At 41.6% G+C, this 18,717-nt stretch overlaps 1 protein-coding gene across 6 annotated transcripts in view; it reads left to right on the top strand.

The window, feature by feature from the left end:
* Window positions 1–18,717, top strand: part of GSPT1 (G1 to S phase transition 1) — a 48,527-nt gene that overhangs the window by 17,834 nt on the left and 11,976 nt on the right. For 4 of the 6 annotated variants that reach the window (NM_001130007.2, NM_002094.4, XM_047434034.1 and 1 more), the window contains exons 2-11: window positions 786–827; window positions 940–981; window positions 2,036–2,263; window positions 3,834–3,867; window positions 7,682–7,759; window positions 11,071–11,251; window positions 11,890–12,044; window positions 12,210–12,350; window positions 13,547–13,640; window positions 15,726–15,806. In NM_001130007.2, coding sequence (NP_001123479.1) covers window positions 960–981; window positions 2,036–2,263; window positions 3,834–3,867; window positions 7,682–7,759; window positions 11,071–11,251; window positions 11,890–12,044; window positions 12,210–12,350; window positions 13,547–13,640; window positions 15,726–15,806 — 1,014 coding nt within the window. In that variant the 5' untranslated portion in view covers window positions 786–827; window positions 940–959. The remainder of the gene's footprint in view (window positions 1–785; window positions 828–939; window positions 982–2,035; window positions 2,264–3,833; window positions 3,868–7,681; window positions 7,760–11,070; window positions 11,252–11,889; window positions 12,045–12,209; window positions 12,351–13,546; window positions 13,641–15,725; window positions 15,807–18,717) is intronic. The other 2 variants (NM_001130006.2, XM_047434035.1) reach the window with 1 other exon arrangement.

The raw sequence follows: 18,717 nt of genomic DNA, 5'->3' as shown, positions 1-18,717 counted from the left end.
TCTTATAGGTATCTAATTTATTCAGGGATTTTGATAACATGAGTATGGAATATTAAAAAGGGCTAATCACAGGCTGGATGCGGTGGCTCAAGCCTGTAATCCCAGCACTTTGGGAGGCCGAGGTGGGCAGAACACCTGAGGTCGTAGTTCAAAACCAGCCTGACCAACGTGGCGAAACCCCATCTCTACTAAAAATACAAAATTAGCCGGGCATGGTGGCATGCACCTGTGATCCCAGGTACTCAGGAGGCTGAGGCAGGAGAATCGCTTGAACCGGGGAGATGGAGGTTGCGGTAAGCCAAGATCGTGCCATTGCACTCCAACTCCAGCCTGGGCAACAAGAGTGAAACTCAGTCTCAAAAAAAAAAAAAAAAAAAAAGGGCTAATCACAGCTTTCTTGGGCTGGGTTACCTAGAGAGAATCACGGGAAGTAGATGTGTATTTGTTGAGCACATCTCTAATTTGATCTGTGCTGAGCTGCAAATTACTTTGACAGTATCTGTGAAGAAAAGGTTTATAAAGCAAATCAAAAGAATAAGCATGTTTTTATGAATACATTGAAACTACTGAAAATGTTTCAAAATTGGCTGTAATTAGTAGAATTTTGAAAAGTAGGTTAAGCAGAGACTTCTAACTTGAAGGCCTGAGTTAGCTGCCATTGATCTGGGGTTATTGATTGAGGCTTGTGTCGTGTTATTGAACTTCTGTTTTTACTGCATATTAAAAGATAAGTGAAATGGATGGATAAGTATCAATTTTTAATAGAACTTCTTTCTGTTAAACAGCACCTGTGGAATCCTCTCAAGAGGAACAGTCATTGTGTGAAGGTAATGATGTACTCTTTGAAAGTCTACTTGAGAAAACATTAGGTTGTCTATATGGTGTGTAAAGCTAGATACTGTTTGGTAAATATATATTATATTTCAATCTCTTGTCTAGGTTCAAATTCAGCTGTTAGCATGGAACTTTCAGAACCTATTGGTAAGAAAATTTCTGACCATATTAATACAGTAATATGAAACTCTTTCACTCTCAAGATTTAAGGTGCATTATGTAAGTTACGATTATTGTAATGCCTACATTTAAGACACATTGAGTCTTTGCTATTAGTATTTAGAAAGTAGAACAAACTAGGCACTAACACTGCCTTGATAAACTTAATGATTGCAAATAAAATTGAGTGGAGGAATGGTCAAGTCAATTTAAATACCTGTACCTGTTCTGTTTTCTTTTTTTGAGACGGAGTCTTGCTCTGTCGCCCAGGCTGGAGTGTAGTGGTGCAATCTTGGGTCACTGCAACCTCCGCCTCCCAGGTTCAAGCGCTTCTCCTGCCTCAGCTTCTTGAGTAGCTGGGATTACAGGCGCACACCACCACAACTGGCAAATTTTTGTATTTTTAGTAGAGGCGGGGTTTCACCATGTTGATCAGGATGGTCTCGAACTCCTGACCTCGTGATCCACCCACCTCGGCCTCCGAAAGTGCTGGGATTACAGGTGTGAGCCACCATGCTCGGCCACACGTTCTGTTTTCTTGGTGAAAAATGTTCTTCCTTTTTATAACTTTATTCTTAAGGGTTTCACGTTCTCAGCGTGATTAAAGTTGATGCCAAAGTTTTATTAGTTTAAGAGGAAAAAGAAAATATTTCCTAAATCCTTTCATATTTCTCGTGTGTCACGATTTTAAACTTTCCTTTTTTTCTTACTATCAGGGTGTCTCAACACTGGAATAACTAGGCTGTTGGGAATGTTAGAACTCTTGTTTGCATTTTGTTTGCCATTATGAAAATGAAGCTTTGCTAAAATAGCAATCTCAGCCTGTGAGTCAGTGCCCTCTGATGTGATACCAGCAGTGAGTCTGCCTTGAAAGCTGTCACCCATTTCTGCTATGAAAGAGGTTTTCCTGCTTATGTGTCACTAGGCATTAGGAAATGGAACTACATATGCAAACTTCCATTTGTTGTTTTAAAGCTAGTGTATTTTAAAGTATAGATTGTAAGTCTTTTTCAGAATACTAAGTTAAAATGTCTTTCTTCAGTAGAAAATGGAGAGACAGAAATGTCTCCAGAAGAATCATGGGAGCACAAAGAAGAAATAAGTGAAGCAGAGCCAGGGGGTGGTTCCTTGGGAGATGGAAGGCCGCCAGAGGAAAGTGCCCATGAAATGATGGAGGAGGAAGAGGAAATCCCAAAACCTAAGTCTGTGGTTGCACCGCCAGGTGCTCCTAAGAAAGAGCATGTAAATGTAGTATTCATTGGGCACGTAGGTAAGCTGCTCTCATAGCAATTAAAGTTACTGGATACATAAAACATAGAACATCCTTTTTAGCTACCTGGAGATGTTTAGTGAAACTGAAGGAAATTAATTGAAAATGTCTTGATTTTTAACTTGCTGATTTTTTTTAGCTGGCAAAAAATTGCAAGTACTTTTTTCCTGAAGTTTAGGCAAATGAATAATTCTGTAACGGCATAGATGCTGGAAGAAAAACTTCAGTATATTGTACGTAACATATAATTAGTCTATTGACCATTGATGGTAGTTCAGCATAGTATTATATATCAGTATCTTAGAAAATGTGCCCTTTTTTATGTGAACCTCAGTTAACTTGTTAATTTTAATGGGATTGACCTTACCAGATAATTTTGTGTGAAGCAGGAAATCAATAATTTGGAGTAACTTCTGGATGCTTGCCAGGTTGCTGGTTTAGCAAAAAACAAAAGAACAAATTTATTTAATTTACTCAGATATTCTCTAATTATCTGGCCTATCCCCAGAATTGTGAGAAAAAAAATACAGAATTATGTGTCTTTCATTTCAGCTATCTCTGCCTTCCCCCCAGATATGAAACACTGTACCCCTTCTTTTAGTAGCAAGAACTCTTTTGAAAGTGTAAAGGAGCGGCTGGGCACTGTGGCTGGCGCCTGTAATCCCAGCACTTTGGGAGGCCAAGGCGGGCACATCACGAGGTCAGGAGTTCAAGACCAGCCTGGCCAACATGGTGAAACCCCGTCTCTACTAAAAATACAAAAATTAGCCAGGTGTGGTGGCATGAGCCTGTAATCCCAGCTACTCCGGAGGCTGAGGCAGGAGAATTGCTTGAACCCAGAAGGTGGAGGTTGCAGTGAGGTGAGATCGCACCACTGCACTCCAGCTCTGGGCAACGGAGCAAGATTCCGTCTCGTGGGGAAAAAAAGGTGTAAAGGAGCACATACCTCATTTGCTGTAAGTGAAAGGAAAAGCACCTGAATCTAGTTCACAGTTCTTCAGCTGCTTTTGCTCTTGGAAACTTCTCTTGGGGAATTTATAGTCTGTTGCCGCTGTGCTTTCGGAGTAATCTGTTAAAAAATTCTTTATCAGTAAAGTGTTTTTAAGTGGTTTTTTTTTTTTTTTTTGAGATGGAGTTTCACTCTTGTCGCCCAGGCTGGAGTGCAATGGCGTGATTTCAGCTTAGTGCAACCTCTGCTTCCCGAGTTCACGCGATTCTCCTGCCTCAGCTTCCCAAGTAGCTGGGATTACAGGCGGCCGCCACCACGCCTAGCTAATTTTTGTATTTTTAGTAGAAACGGGGTTTCACCATGTTGGCCAGGCTGGTCTCGAACTCCTGACCTGAGGTCATCCGCCCTCGCTGGCCTCCCAAAGTGCTGGAATTACAGGCGTGAGCCACCGAGCCCAGCCTTGAGGCTCATTTTCAAAAGGAGAAGGGTAATGAACTAGGATTTATGCCCCAAATTCATATGGAAGATTTAATTATGTATGTTAAAGGGTGCTGTTGTTTGCATATTTAGCCATTGGTTTTTGGTTTTAACCTATGGTTTGCATGTTGATGTTACTTTTAGATGCTGGCAAGTCAACCATTGGAGGACAAATAATGTAAGTCTGTATCTTTTGTTAAATAACAGAGTTAAATTGATGTAATGAATTTTAGGCATTGTAAACCTTCATACAGTCACACAAAGGAGATAAAACAGGTCCCCCAAAGAAAAATTAAAAATAAAATTACTGGGACACAATACTGATGTTAAGAAGTGATTTTTGGCCTGGTGTGGTGGAACACACCTATAATCCCAGCATTTTGAGAGGCTAAGGTGGGAGGATCACTGGACTTGAGGTCTGGAGTTTGAAACCAGCCTGGGCAAGACAATGAGACTCTGTCTCTACTTTAATTTTTTTAAAAGTAGTAGTTTTTGTAATGTGATTATTACTAGTGTTAAATGTGTTTCTGAAAGCTTTTTACATTTTTTAAAAATAAAAAATGAACACAGAACTCTAGATTATGGGAAACTTGGTCTCCTTTGCATATAACATACATGGGAATAATGACAACCAGCTCTTGAATCTGGTGAATGGGGGAACTGTTTTTTCCTCATTCATCAGCTCCTTAAATGTATATGGATTTAATAAAAGACAGGTAGACTAGCTAAAATGCTAAGATAATTTTTTGATCGTATTATAGAAATTTCCTAGGTATGAAATGACCGTGGCTGGCCTTTAGTAATGCATTTTAGTATTGACAAATCTTGATAACTAAAAAGTCCTAAATTTTTAATTGCTTCTCTAAATTAGACCCATTTCTTTGAACTGTGTCATCAGAGGACCTAGAGGGCTTGCCATCATCTTGCCTAGTTAAATTTTTTTTTTTTTTTTTTTTTTTTTTTTTTTTTTTTTTTTGAGATAGGGTCTCATTCTGTCACCAAGGCTGGAGTGCAGTGGCATGATTTTGGCTCACTGCAGCCTCGACCTCCTGGACTCAAGCAATCCTTCCACCTCAGCCTCCCAAGCAGGTGGGATCACAGGTGCATGCAACCAAGCCTGGCTAATTTTTGTGTTTTTTTGTAGAGGTGGTGTTTCATCATATTGCCCAGGCTGGTCTTGACCTCTTGGGGTCAAGTGGTCTGCCCACCTCTACTGCCTCCCAAAGTGCTGGCATACAGGTGTGATTAACCACACCTGGCTAATCATCATTGGTAATCTTGCCAGTTACTTTTGAACATTTCCACAACAGAGACTCTAAGACAGGCTGTTAAACAGGGGTCCTTCCCCAGGTCTCTGTGGTTGAAGTGTCACAGCCATATGATGTTATGTTTCAGGACAGTGTATATTTTTTGCTGATGGGCTGTAAGTTTTGGTGGCGTCACACTGGGTTTCTACATGCAAATGCTTAGGTGCACTGCACTATAGATGTCTACGTGGAGAACACAGATGAAAGCTATAGGGAAAGGAGAGCTTTGAATTGGATTGAGTCAAGGAAGTATGCATTACTAACGAACTATTTTGAAATTATTATCTCATTTTGACAAGTAATAAGACTTACTTGCCTAGACAACATTGTTGCAATTTTTTTTTCTTTTCTATAGTACCTACATTTACATTTACTTGTTATTTTATTTTTAAATTTACTTGGCTGGGCATGGTGGCTCATATCTGTAATCCTAGCATTTTGGGAGGCCAAGGCGGAAGGATCATTTGAGCCCAGGCTTCAAGAAGAGCCAGGACAATATAGTGAGACCCTCATTTCTATAAAAAATAAAAATAAAACTATATTTATTTTAAGAGACAGGGTCTCGCTGTGTTGCCCAGGCCGGAGGGTAGTGGCTATTTATAGGGGGGAGGATGATAGCGCACTATAGCTTCAAATTCCTGTGCTCAACTGATCCTCCTACCTCAGCCTCCCAAGTAGCTGGGACTACACGCTTGCACCACCATGCCCACCTTATATTTACTTAAAAAAAACAAACAAAAACAAAAAACAAAACCTACTATATTCTGAAATAATTTTAGATTTACGGAATGGTTGCAAAAACAGTACGGGAAGTTCCCTTCATTCATCCTGCCCTGATGTTGACATCTTATAACCATAGTCATTCATCAAAACTTCCTTATTACTGGTGAAATTAGTCATGATTACTTGGTTAAGGTGTCATCTGTCAAGATTGTCCACTATAAGGTTATTGTTTTCCCTTTTCTTTTCTTTTTTTTTTTTTTTTTTTTTTTTTTGAGACAGAATCTCTATCGCCCAGGCTGGAGTGCAGTGCAGTGGTGTGATCTTGGCTCACTGCAACCTCCGCCTCCTGGGTTCAAATGATTCTCCTGCCTCAGCCTCCCAAGTAGCTGGGATTACAGGCATGCACCACCACGTCTGGCTAATTTTTTTGTATTTTTAGTAGAGATGAGGTTTCACCATGTTGGTCAGGCTGGTCTTGAACTCCTGACCTTGTGATCCGCCTGCTTTGGCCTCGCAAAGTGCTGGGATTATAGGCCTGAGCCACCGTGCCCGGCCATTTTTTATTTTTTGTTTTTTTTGTTTTTTTTGTTTTTTTGAGAAAGGGTCTCCCTGTTGTTTAGGCTGGAGGGCAGTTGTGTAATCATGGCTCACTGCAGCCTCAACCTCATGGACTCAGGCAGTCCTCCCAACTCAGCTTCCCAAAGTGCTGAGATTACAGGCATGAGCCATCACACCTGGCCTGATTTTTTGTTTTTTTTAGAGACAGGGTCTTGCTCTTAAACACAGGCTAGAGTGCAGTGGTGGAATCATAGCTTACTGTAACCTCACACTCCTGGGCTCAGGTGATCCTCTCACTTCAGCCTCCCAAGTAGCTAGGAATACAGGCATGCATCACCACACCAGGCCAATTTTTTAATATTTATGTGGAGATGGTCTCACTGTGTTGCACTGGCTGGTCTCAAACTCCTGGCCTCAAGGGATCCTCCCACCTCAGCCTCCCAAAGTGCTGGGATTACGGGCATGAGCCATCACACCAGGCCACTTTGTCTGTTAATTCGAGACTGTAAATATCCTTTTTCCACTTACACTTTCCATAATTTTAGCATCCACCAGTGGTTCCTTTACTTTAACTATTTTCTGGCCAGGCGTGGTGGTTCTCATGCCAGTATTCCCAGCACTTTGGGAGGCTGAGGCTGGCAGATCACTTGAGGTCAGGAGTTCGAGACCAGCCTGACCATGGTGAAACCCAGTCTCTACTAAAAATACAAAAACTTAGCCAGGCATGGTGGCACACGCCTGTAATCCCAGCTACTTGAGAGGCTGAGACAGGAGAATCGCTTGAACCCAGGAGGAGGAAGTTGCAGTGAGCTGAGATCACGCCACTGCACTCCACCCTAGGCGACAGAGCGAGACCCTGTCTCAAAAAAAAAAAAAAAATATGGCCAGGCGTGGTGGCTCACGCCTGTAATCCCAGCACTTTGGGAGGCTGCGGCAGGTGGATCACCCAAGGTCAGGAGTTCGAGACCAGCCTGGCCAACGTAATGAAACCCCATCTTTACTACAAGTACAAAAATTAGCCGGGTTTGGTGGTGGGTGCCTGTAATCCCAGCTACTCAGGAGGCTGAGGCAGGAGAATCACTTGAACCCAGGAGGCAGAGGTTGCAGTGAGCCGAGATTGTGCCATTGCACTCCAGGTGGATGACAAGAGCGAAACTCTGTCTCAAAAAAAAAAATATATATATATATGTAATATATATATTTTATATAAAAATGTGTAATATATTTTATATAAAAATATGTTATATATGTTATATATATATTTTATATTTTTTTAGACAGACACACACATATAAAATAACTATTTTCTGACGTTGAAATTTTCGACAATTTTCACGTTTTCCTAATTCCACTGAGTAATTTGTGAGTAATTGTTTACTTTTTTTTTTCTTTAAATGTTTTCAGGTATTTGACTGGAATGGTTGACAAAAGGACGCTTGAAAAGTATGAAAGAGAAGCTAAAGAGAAAAACAGAGAAACTTGGTATAGTAAACTTTTATGACACTTATAAATTACTTTTAAGGAGACGATGCCCACTTAGTGCTTTTGGAGCCTGTTAAAATATAAATTGTTGAAGTCTAAAATCGTATCACAACAAAGGAAATTTCCCCTCTCCTCATAATACACAGTAGATGAGTTCCTAATGCTTTAATAACTTACACAGAGAAATTTGGAAACAATCCATATATCTGGTGATAGACTTGTTGAAAATACTATAAACCATCCATTTAATTGGGTGATTTTGCAACCACTGAAAACTTACATTTACATAATTTATAGTAACCATGAATAGAACTTGCGTTGTGGTGGCAGTTGGGGGGAAGCAGGAAACATCCCTGTACTTAAGATATGACCATTATATAAATAAATGCTGGAAATAAAATGGAATGGAATTATTGACAGTGGTTGCCTTTGAATGGTGAGACAGTCAACTTTTTTGTTTTCTAACCTTGTTACTTTTATTTTTAAAAAGTTAGCAAGCCTTACCTCAATGGGATATTGACAGTCATTTTTTTAAAATAAAATTATATTCCTCTAAAATAAGCGGGAGAAATGCTAGTCAGTGTTGTTATAAAAAATTGAGGACATGCTGTGAAGATGATGAGGTAAGCTAAATTAATGCCCACTATTACGGATGGTTTGAATTTATATGAATTTTTGCCTGGCAGTGTGATATTGAAGCAATTTTTAGCAAGTAACCATTGCTCCCACATGGTGCGTTAGTGGCTTTCAGTTTTCAAAAATATCTGAGGACAGTTATTTTTTATTTTATTAAAAAGTTTTAGTCCTGGCACAGTGGCTTAAGCCTGTAATCTCAGCACTTTGGGAGGCCAAGACGGGCGGATCACGAGGTCAGGAGATCGAGACCATCCTGGCTAACATGGTGAAACCCCGTCTCTACTAAAAATACAAAAAATTAGCTGGGCAAGGTGGCAGGCACCTGTAGTCCCAGCTACTTGGAAGGCTGAGGCAGGAGAATGGCGTGAACCCGGGAGGCGGAGGTTGCAGTGAGCCGAGATTGCACCACTGCACTCCAGCCTGGGCAACAGAGTGAGACACCATGTCAAAAAAAAAAAAAGAAAAAAGGAAAACAACTTTTATTGGGCCAGGCGCGGTGACTCAAGCCTGTAATCTCAGCACTTTGGGAGGCAAGGCAGGCAGATCACACCTGAGGTCAGGAGTTCGAGACCACCCTGGCCAATATGGTGAAACCCTGTCTCTACTAAAACTACAAAAATGGCCGGGCACAGTGTCTCACGCCTGTAATCCCAGCGCTTTGGGAGGCCGAGGCAGGCGGATCACCTGAGGTCAGGAGTTCGAGACCAGCCTGACCAACATGGAGAAACCCTGTCTCTACTAAAAATACAAAATTAGCTGGGCATGGTGGCGCATGCTCTAATCCCAGCTACTCGGGGGGCTGAGGCAGGAGAATCACTTGAACCTGGGAGGCGGAGGTTGCGGTGAGCCGAGATGGTGCTGCTGCACTCCAGCCTGGGCAACAAGAGCTAAACTCCATCTCAAAAAATATATATACAAAAAGTAGCCGGGCGTGGTGGTGGGCACCTGTAATCCCAGCTACTTGGGAGGCTGAGGCAGGAGAATAGCTGGAACCTGGGAAGCAGAGGTTGCAGTGAGCCGAGATGGTGCCACTGCACTCCAACCTGGCCAGAGCAAGACTCCCATCTCCAAAAAAAAAAAAAAAAAAAAAAAAAAAGAAGAAGAGGGGTGGGGGTGCCGGGCACGACCTAGGCTCTGTTGCCCAGGCTGGAGTGTAGTGGCTCCATCTCCACTCACTGCAAGCTCCACCTCCTGGGTTCACACCATTCTCCTGCTTCAGCCTCCCAAGTAGCTGGGACTACAGGCACCCGCCACCACGCCTGGCTAATTTTTTGTATTTTTAGTAGAGACAGGGTTTCACCGTGTTAGCTACGATGGTCTCAATCTCCTGACCTTGTGATCTGCCTGCCTCAGCCTCCTAGAATGCTGAAATTACAGGCGTGAGCCACAGCATCCATCCAAAAAAGTTTTATTATTACCCTTTAACTCTCAAGACAGCCATTATTTGTGTTGTATTTTGTGCCATGTGAGTATAAAAATGAAGTAATAAGGGAGCTCATTATCACTTAACACACAGTGATATTGGCATTTGTAGTTAGTCTTTCTGTGTAGTCAACTTGCCATAAAGTTCTAGATGGTATAATTGACTGCGTTTATATAAAAGCTCTAAGGGTTTGAATCAAAATAATACATTCTTTCAGTTTTATTTTATTTATTTATTTTTTTGAGACGGAGTCTCACTGTGTCACCAGGCTGGAGTGCAGTGGCGCGATCTCAGCTCACTGCAACCTCCGCCTCCTGGGTTCAAGCGATTCTCCTGCCTCAGCCTCCCGAGTAGCTGGGACTACAGGCGCCCGCCACCATGCCCAGCTAATTTTTGTATTTTTAGTAGAGATGGGGTCTCACCATGTTGGCCAGGATGGTCTCAATCTCTTGACCTCAGGTGATCCGCCTGCCTTGGCCTCCCAAAGTGCTTGGATTACAAGCATGAGCCACTGCACCTAGCCCTTTTTTTTTTTTTTTGAGAGACAGAGTCTCCCTCTGTTGCCCAGCCTGGAGTGCGATGGCACGATCTTGGCTCACTGCAACCTCTACCTCCCAGCTTCAAGCGATTGTCCTGCCTCAGCTTTCGAAATAGCTGTGACTACAGGTGTGCACCACTATGCCCAACTTTTGTATTTTTAGTAGAGATGAGGTTTCATCATATTAGCCAGGCTAGTCTCGAACTCCTGACCTCAGGTGATCTGCCAGCCTCGGCCTCCCAAAGTGCTGGGATTACAGGCGTGAGCCACTGCGCCCAGCCCTATTCTTTCAATTTCTTTGTTTTCTTTTGAGACGGAGCCTTGCTCTGTCGCCCAGGCTGGAGTGCAATGGCACGGTCTTGGCTCGCTGCAACCTCCTCCTCCCAGGTTCAAGCGATTCTCCTGCCTCAGTCTCCTAAGTACTACAGGTGGGCTCCTCCACACCCAGCTAATTTTTGTATTTTCGGTAGAGACAGGGCTTCACCATGTTGGTCAGGCTGGTGTCGAACCCCTGACCTTGTGATCCGCCGCCTTGGCCTCCCAAAGTGCTCAGATTACAGATGTGAGCCACCGCACCCGGCTCAATTTTCATTTCACCAATCTTGTTCGTGATTTAGGTGTTGTGTGTCATCCATTATATCTTTAATGGTGAAGAATATCCTAAAAACTCTGATGTTCTTAGGAATATTGTTCTTTTTTTAAAAATTATTTCAGGTACTTGTCTTGGGCCTTAGACACAAATCAGGAAGAACGAGACAAGGGTAAAACAGTAGAAGTGGGTCGTGCCTATTTTGAAACCGAAAAGAAGCATTTCACAATTCTAGATGCCCCTGGCCACAAGAGTTTTGTCCCAAATATGATTGGTGGTGCCTCTCAAGCTGATTTGGCTGTGCTGGTAAGAAAGACATTTCCAGTCCATCTGTATATTTGTTAGTAGCCCCGCTTATATCTTTAAATTTGAATTTATCTTCTAAAAGCTCAAATTCAGGTTGCAGTGAAATATAATGATGTACACGGTCACAGTTTTCATCATACTAATCTCTCTTCAAGAAATCTTCAAAATTTGATTTACTTCTGAAAATACGTTTCACCTTTTCTCTCCTGTTGCTATTATCTATTACCATGTCAGAACTTAGTCTCCATTAAATGCCAAGCCCACCGTTAGGCACCATGGGTAAAAAATGAATAGGAAACCATCTGTTTCATACGGTCTTCAGTCATTTTGCGCTTTTCACAATGTACTGGTAGTAGATCACAATTTTTTTTCCTTTGTAGTTACAATAGCTAGAAAGTAAATGTTGGAATTTTAAAATATGCAGGTATACTAGATTTTGGGAATGTGGGGGATTGGAAGCATCTAGACATTGTTTGATTTGTGACATTCAAAAGCAGGTACGTCATAACTCGTTTGCTTCTATTTTCTTGCAAAAAAAAAAAAAAAAACTCGTGATATAACTGAAAGGAAAGATGTTTTACTGCCATAAGGGTATGCCTGAAGGCGAAGGAGTAAACTGTTTCCTTTCTTGGAATTAGGTAATCTCAGCCAGGAAAGGAGAGTTTGAAACTGGATTTGAAAAAGGAGGACAGACAAGAGAACATGCAATGTTGGCAAAGACAGCAGGTGTAAAACACCTAATTGTGCTAATTAATAAGATGGATGATCCAACAGTAAATTGGAGCAATGAGAGGTGAGCGTAGATGTCTGGTATTTTATGTTAGTGGGATTAAGGATGGTTTTGTTATTGTACGACTTTTTCTCTAGGGTTTTTCTAAACCTTAATCTGTTTACTTAGGAAACTAGAGTTCTTGGTTTACATTATAATTGAGTTATTTTGGTTACATTATAATTGCAGATATGAAGAATGTAAGGAGAAACTAGTGCCATTTTTGAAAAAAGTTGGCTTCAATCCCAAAAAGGACATTCACTTTATGCCCTGCTCAGGACTTACTGGAGCAAATCTCAAAGAGCAGTCGGATTTCTGTCCTTGGTACATGTAAGTAACTGTTTTTTCCTTTTTTTAAAAAGGAAAAGGATGTTATTACTTAAATTACTTATAAAGACATATGCTGAGTAACATGTTAACATATGCTTTTGAGCATATATCTTTATAAGTAATTTAAGAAAATATTAAATGTAACCTTGGCTTTAAAAATACTAAGATCTTTGCCCATTTTTAAACTGGGTTGTCATTTTGTTACTGAGTCCTAAGAGTTCTTTTTAATACTGGCTACCAGTCCCTTATCAGCTACAATATGATTATAGCAAGTATTTTCTCCCACTTTATGGATTGCCTTTTTTCACTTCTCGATGGTGTCCTTTGAAGCACAAAAGGTTTTATTTTTGAAGTTTTTTACATTTAGATATGTATTTGATTTTGAGTTAACTTTTGTGTAAGATGTAAGGTCTATGTGTAGGTTTGTTTTGTTTTTGTATATTAATTGTTTACACACAATTTGTTGAAAAGACTATTCTTTTTTCATTGAATTGATTTGGCTCCCTCTTTGAAAATCAAATGACCATAAATACGAGTTTATTCTTGAACTCCGTGTTTCTTTTTTTTGGTTTGTTTTTTTGAAACAGGTTTTCACTCTGTTAACCAGGCTGGAGTGCAGTGGCATGATCTCGGCTCACTGCAACCTCTGCCTCCCAGCTCAAGAGATCCTCCCACCTCAGCCTCCCAAGTCGTAGGGACTGTAGGCACATGCCACCGCACCCGGCTGATTTTTGTATTTTTAGTAGAGACAGATTCACCATGTTGCCCAGGCTGGTGTCGAACTCCTGGGCTCAAGAGATGCACCTGCCTTTCGGCCTCCCAAAGTGCTGGGATTATAGGCATGAGCCACTGCACGCAGCCAATACTGTATGTTTAAAGGGGAAATTATTTTATAGAATCTTGGTTTCATAGCTGGAAAAGTCCATAAAAAGTAATATAGTCAATTTATTACATGTAGGCTATTTGCTATAAAATATTTCTCTAAATTTTAATAAGTTTATGAGGAAGCCTTATACTGAGCAGTTTTATAATAGTTTTCTGTGGAATAAGTGAGATGAAATGGATAATAAAGTGGTTGAATGGGAAGAATACATGAGTAGAATGAAAATATTATTAGAAGCTGTTTATAGTCATGTAACTTAACATTTTGATATTTATGTTGACTTCCTTTAATGGCTTTGTTGTTATGTTCTCAGTGGATTACCGTTTATTCCATATCTGGATAATTTGCCGAACTTCAATAGATCAGTTGATGGACCAATCAGGCTGCCAATTGTGGATAAGTACAAGGTACCCAAAATGTTAAAGAAATTGGGTTTCCTGGGAGGGGAAATCATTGTTGTGCATTTTGTTTCTAGTTTTGAAAACTTTTTTTCTTTTCTTTTCTTTCTTGTTTTTTTTTTGACAGAATCTTGCACTCTGTCCCCCAGGCTGGAGTGCAGTGGCGCGATCTCAGCTCACTGCAAGCTCTGCCTCCTTGGTTCAAGTGATTCTCCTGCCTCAGCCTCCTGAGTAGCTAGGACTACAGGCTCCCGCCACCACGCCCAGCTAATTTTTTATATTTTTAGTAGAGACGGGGTTTCACTGTGTCAGCCAGGATGGTCTCGATCTCCTGACCTTGTGATCCACCTGCCTCGGCCTCCCCCAAGGTGCTGGGATTACAGGCGTGAGCCACCGTACCTGGCCTTCTTTTTTTTTTTTTTTTTTGAGACGGAGTCTCACTCTGTCACCCAGGCTAGAGTGCAGTGGTGTGATGTCAGCTCACTGCAACCTCTGCCTCCCAGGTTCAAGAGATTCTCCAGCCTCAGCCTCCTGAGTAGCTGGGACTACAGGCGTGTGCCACCGCATCCAGCTAATTGTTTTTTGTATTTTTAGTAGAGACCGGTTTTCACCATGTTGGCCAGGCTGGTCTCGAACTCCTAACCTCAGGTGATCCGCCCGCCTTGGCTTCCCAAAGTGCTGGGCTTACAGGCATGAGCCACCATGCCCGGTCCAAAAACTTTATTAACAACATAACATTGATGTCTTTTTCTTAATGGCTTTATATTAGTGGTATAGATAGACCATAATTTATTCAACAAGTTTAGTTTATTTTAGCTGTTTCCCGATGAGCCAGGGATCATATCTTAGTGATAAACTCATAGATGTAACTGCTGGGCTCAAAGGATTTTCTTATTAAAGTTGATGCATATTGGTAAATAGCATCGCAAAAATACTGTGCTAACTTCTGTCACCACTAGCAGCATGAGTGTTAGTTTTACCACAGCCTCACCAGCACTGGATGTTCGTCTTAAAAAAAATAAACTTCCTTGTTTTTAACTGGATTTCCAACTTGAATTTTTAAGTTTTGCGGTATCAATGTATGTAATGTTTTCCCCTCCTCAAATACATTATTCTTTAATTAGCTCCGTTCTAAATTTCTTTAACAAGTATTGCTTTTTCCAATTTTATATATGAGGAAACAGGCCTAGAGATCAGGAGAACCTGAATTTGTACAAACAGTTCAGATCTTCCAACATAAACTTCTGTGTTGTTTTCTGCACCTTTTTTTTTTTTTTTGAGATGGAGTCTCGCTGTTTCACCAGGCTGGAGTGCAGTGGCATGATCTCGGCTCACTGCAACCTCCGCCTCCTGGGTTCAAGCGATTCTCATGCCTCAGCCTTCCGAGTAGCTGGGATTATAGGCAGGTACCACCACACCCAGCTAATTTTTGTATTTTTAGTAAAGACGGGGTTTCACCATGTTGGCCAGGATGGGCTCGATTTCCTGATCTTGTGATCCACCCGCTTCGGCCTCCCAAAGTGCTGGGATTACAGGCGTGAGCCACTGAGCCCAGCCTTTTTTTTTTTTTGAGACAGAGTCTTGCTCTTTTACCCAAGCTGGAGTCGAGTGGTTCAGTCTCGGCTCACTGTAACCTCTGCCTCCTGAGTTCAAGCGATTCTTCTGCTTCAGCCTCTGGAGTAGCTGGGATTACAGGCATTCCACCGTGCCTGGCAATTTTTTTTTTTTTTGTATTTTTAGTAGAGATGGGGTTTCGCCATATTGGCCAGGCTGGTCTCCAACTCCTGACCTCAGGTGGTCCACCCACCTCCACCTCCCAAAGTGTTGGGATTATAGGCTTGAGCCACCACATCCAGCTTGTGCCATTTTCTTTTTAAATTATAGGCATACTGAATTATTAATATGATCATACATATGCTTATGACACAAATTATTATAGAGTATTTGTTACTGAGTTTAAGATGAACCTAAGCCTTCTACTTAAGCAAATGATTTTCCTTTATGAATAAGCAGTGTAGAATTTCACTTTGGGCTATTGAGCTGTTATACAGCACCAAGAAGTCTGAAACTGGATTTTATTTTACATTTGATCAGGATATGGGCACTGTGGTCCTGGGAAAGCTGGAATCAGGATCTATTTGTAAAGGCCAGCAGCTTGTGATGATGCCAAACAAGGTAAGAATCGGTTATGCTGTTTCCTATCTATTTATTGATTTTTTTTCTTTTTCTTTAAGAGATAGGGTCTTCTTCTGTCACCGAGGCAGGAGTACAGTGGCGCATTCATAGCTTATTGCAGCCTCAAACTTTCAAGCAATCCTGCCACCTGAGCCTCCCAAGTAGCTGGGACTATAGGCTTGTGCCACTCTGCCTGGCTAATTTTTTTTTTTTTTAAATAAAAATTGAGATGGGGTCTCACTATGTTGACCAGACTAGTCTCTAACTCCTGGCCTCAAACAATCCTCCCATCTTGGCCTCCCAAAGTGCTAGGATTACGGGCGTGAGCCATCATGCCTGGCCTCCTTTGTGTCATTTTTGACTGTTCAGTTGCTGAGATTTGCAGATAACCTGAGGCAGGGCTTCTCTAACAGCTCCAAAGATGTTGCTTATGCAGGACCACAGACTTGAGTCATCAGTACCTTCAGATGGAGATTTTGCTAGATTTCAGTGAGAATTTATTTACCATGCTAACTCCAGGCAGAGTAAATTAGAAAAAGAATCCATTATCAAATGTAATATTTAGACATAATTGGCACCTTACAAATTGTATTATCTGGTTTCTTGATGCCTTGTGCATTGGAGATGAGAATATATAGTATCTTCTAAAATGTTTACATTTTAAAGCCTACTTTTTCCTATTATCTTTGCAACTTGGAGGCTAACATATGAGTGAAAATAATTCTCAGGTTGAGTTCTTAGTTAGTTGTTGCTGCTGTTGTTGTTTTGAGATGGAGTCTCACCCTGTCGCCAGGCTGGAGTGCAGTGGCACATTCTTGGCTCACTGCAACCTCCGCCTCCCGGGTAGCTGGGATTACAGGCATGCATCACCATATCTGGCTAATTTTTGTGGTTTTAGTAGAGACAGGGTTTCACCTTGTTGGCCAGGCTGGTCTCGAACTCCTAACCTCGTGATTTGCCCGCCTGGGCCTCCCAAAGTGCTGGGATTACAGGCTTGAGCCACCACACCCAGCCCTTACTTACTCAGTTTTGTCTGTAGAGTTGTCCCAAAAATTATGGAGATGAGCCAGGCATGGTGGCTAACACCTAGCACTTTCGAAGTTTGAGGTGGACCGATTGCTTGAGCCCAGGAGTTGGAGACCACACTGGGCAACATAGGGAGACCCTGTCTCTGTGAAAAATAAAATTAGCCACTTGTGGTGATACGTGCCTGTGGTCGTAGCTATTTGGGAGGTTGAGGCAGGAGGATTGCTTGAGCCCAGGAAGTCAAGGTTGCTATGATTTATGAGCTCTGATCACACCACTGCACTCCAGGCTGGGCAACAGAACGAGACCTTTACTAAAAAAAAAAAAAAAAAAGCTATGGAAGTGTAAGGCAGCTTGGTGGTTGCAAGGGGCTGAAGGAGGGAAAGTAAGGAGTGACTGCTTAACGGGTGTAGGATTTCCTTTTTGGGACAATGAAGTTTTAGAATTAGATAGTGGTATTGATTGTACAACATGGTGAATACACTAGATGGCACTGAATTGCAAACTAAAATGGTTTAAAAGTTGAATGTTATTACTTATATTTTACCAGAATAGAAAAAAGTATGATTCTCTAAACATAAGTGAAGTTAGTGCCCAGACATATTTGCAAGTGAGGGGCCTTAGTAACTAGTATAGAGAAAGTAGCTGTTCTCTGTGGAAGCTATCACTTGATACTAATCACTAGGCAGGTATAGAATGTCCTAGAGTTGAGCAAGCCTCAAAAACTCACTTCAGTTTAGTCCTCCTGAATCTCAGTGGAACAGAGCTAGAATAGTTTAAAAGACATAGAGGCAGCTGGTGGGTGGGCCATGCCTGTAATCCCAGCACTTTGGGAGGCCAAGGTGGGTGGATCACGAGGTCAGGAGTTCGAGACCAGCTTGGCCAACATAGTGAAACCCCGTCTCTACTAAAAATACAAAAAATTAGCCAAGTGTGTCAGCGGGTGCCTGTAATCCTAGCTACCCAGGAGGCTGAGACAGGAGAATCGCTTGAACCCGGGAGGCGGAGGTTGCAGTGAGCTGAGATCACGCCACTGCACACCAGCACAGGCGACAGTGCGAGACTCCGTCTCAAATATCAAATAAAAAAGAGGCCAGACTTTTACAATAAAAAATTCATGGGGTTGGCAACCTACGGAATGAGAGAAAACATTTGCCAATCATGTATCTAAATATGGGGTTAATATCTAGAATATATGAAGAACTCCTACAAGTCAACAGAAAACCTGAACAACCCAATTCAAAAATGGGCAAAGGACTGCAATAGACATTTTTCCAGAGAAGATGTACAAACAGCCAAAAAGTACATGAAGAAATGCCTAGCACTGCTAACTATTAGGGAAATAAAAATCAAATCCACAGGGCTGGACATGGTGGCTTATGCCTATAATCCCTGCACTTTCGGAAAAGCTGAGGCAGGAGGATCACTTGAGTTTTGAGACCAGGCTGGGTCTCTCACTATGTGTGAGATCCCATCTCAATTAAAAACTTTTTTTTGGAAAGCAGAGTAACACGTGTTGGCAAGGATGTGGAGAATTTGGAACCCTTGTGCACTGTTGGTCATGTAAAATTGTGCCAAGTGCCGTGAAAAAATATAGCAGTTCCTCAAAAAATTAAACATAGATTTCCCACATAATCCAGCAATACTCTTTCTGAGTATATACCCAAAAGAGTCTCAGATATCTGTATAAACATGTTCATACATGTATTATTCACAGTAGCCAGAAGGTGGAAGCAACCCTGGTGTCCATAAAGGATGATGGATAAAGAAAGCGTGTTACATACACGTAATAGAATATTGCACAGCCTTAAAAAGGAAGTTCTGACACAGGCCACAACATGAATGAACCTTGAGGACATTATGCTATGTGAAATAAAACAGTCAC

Source organism: Homo sapiens, chromosome 16 (assembly GCF_000001405.40).
Source record: "Homo sapiens chromosome 16, GRCh38.p14 Primary Assembly".
NCBI lineage: Eukaryota > Metazoa > Chordata > Mammalia > Primates > Hominidae > Homo > Homo sapiens.
This window is presented reverse-complemented; position numbering and strand designations above follow the sequence as displayed.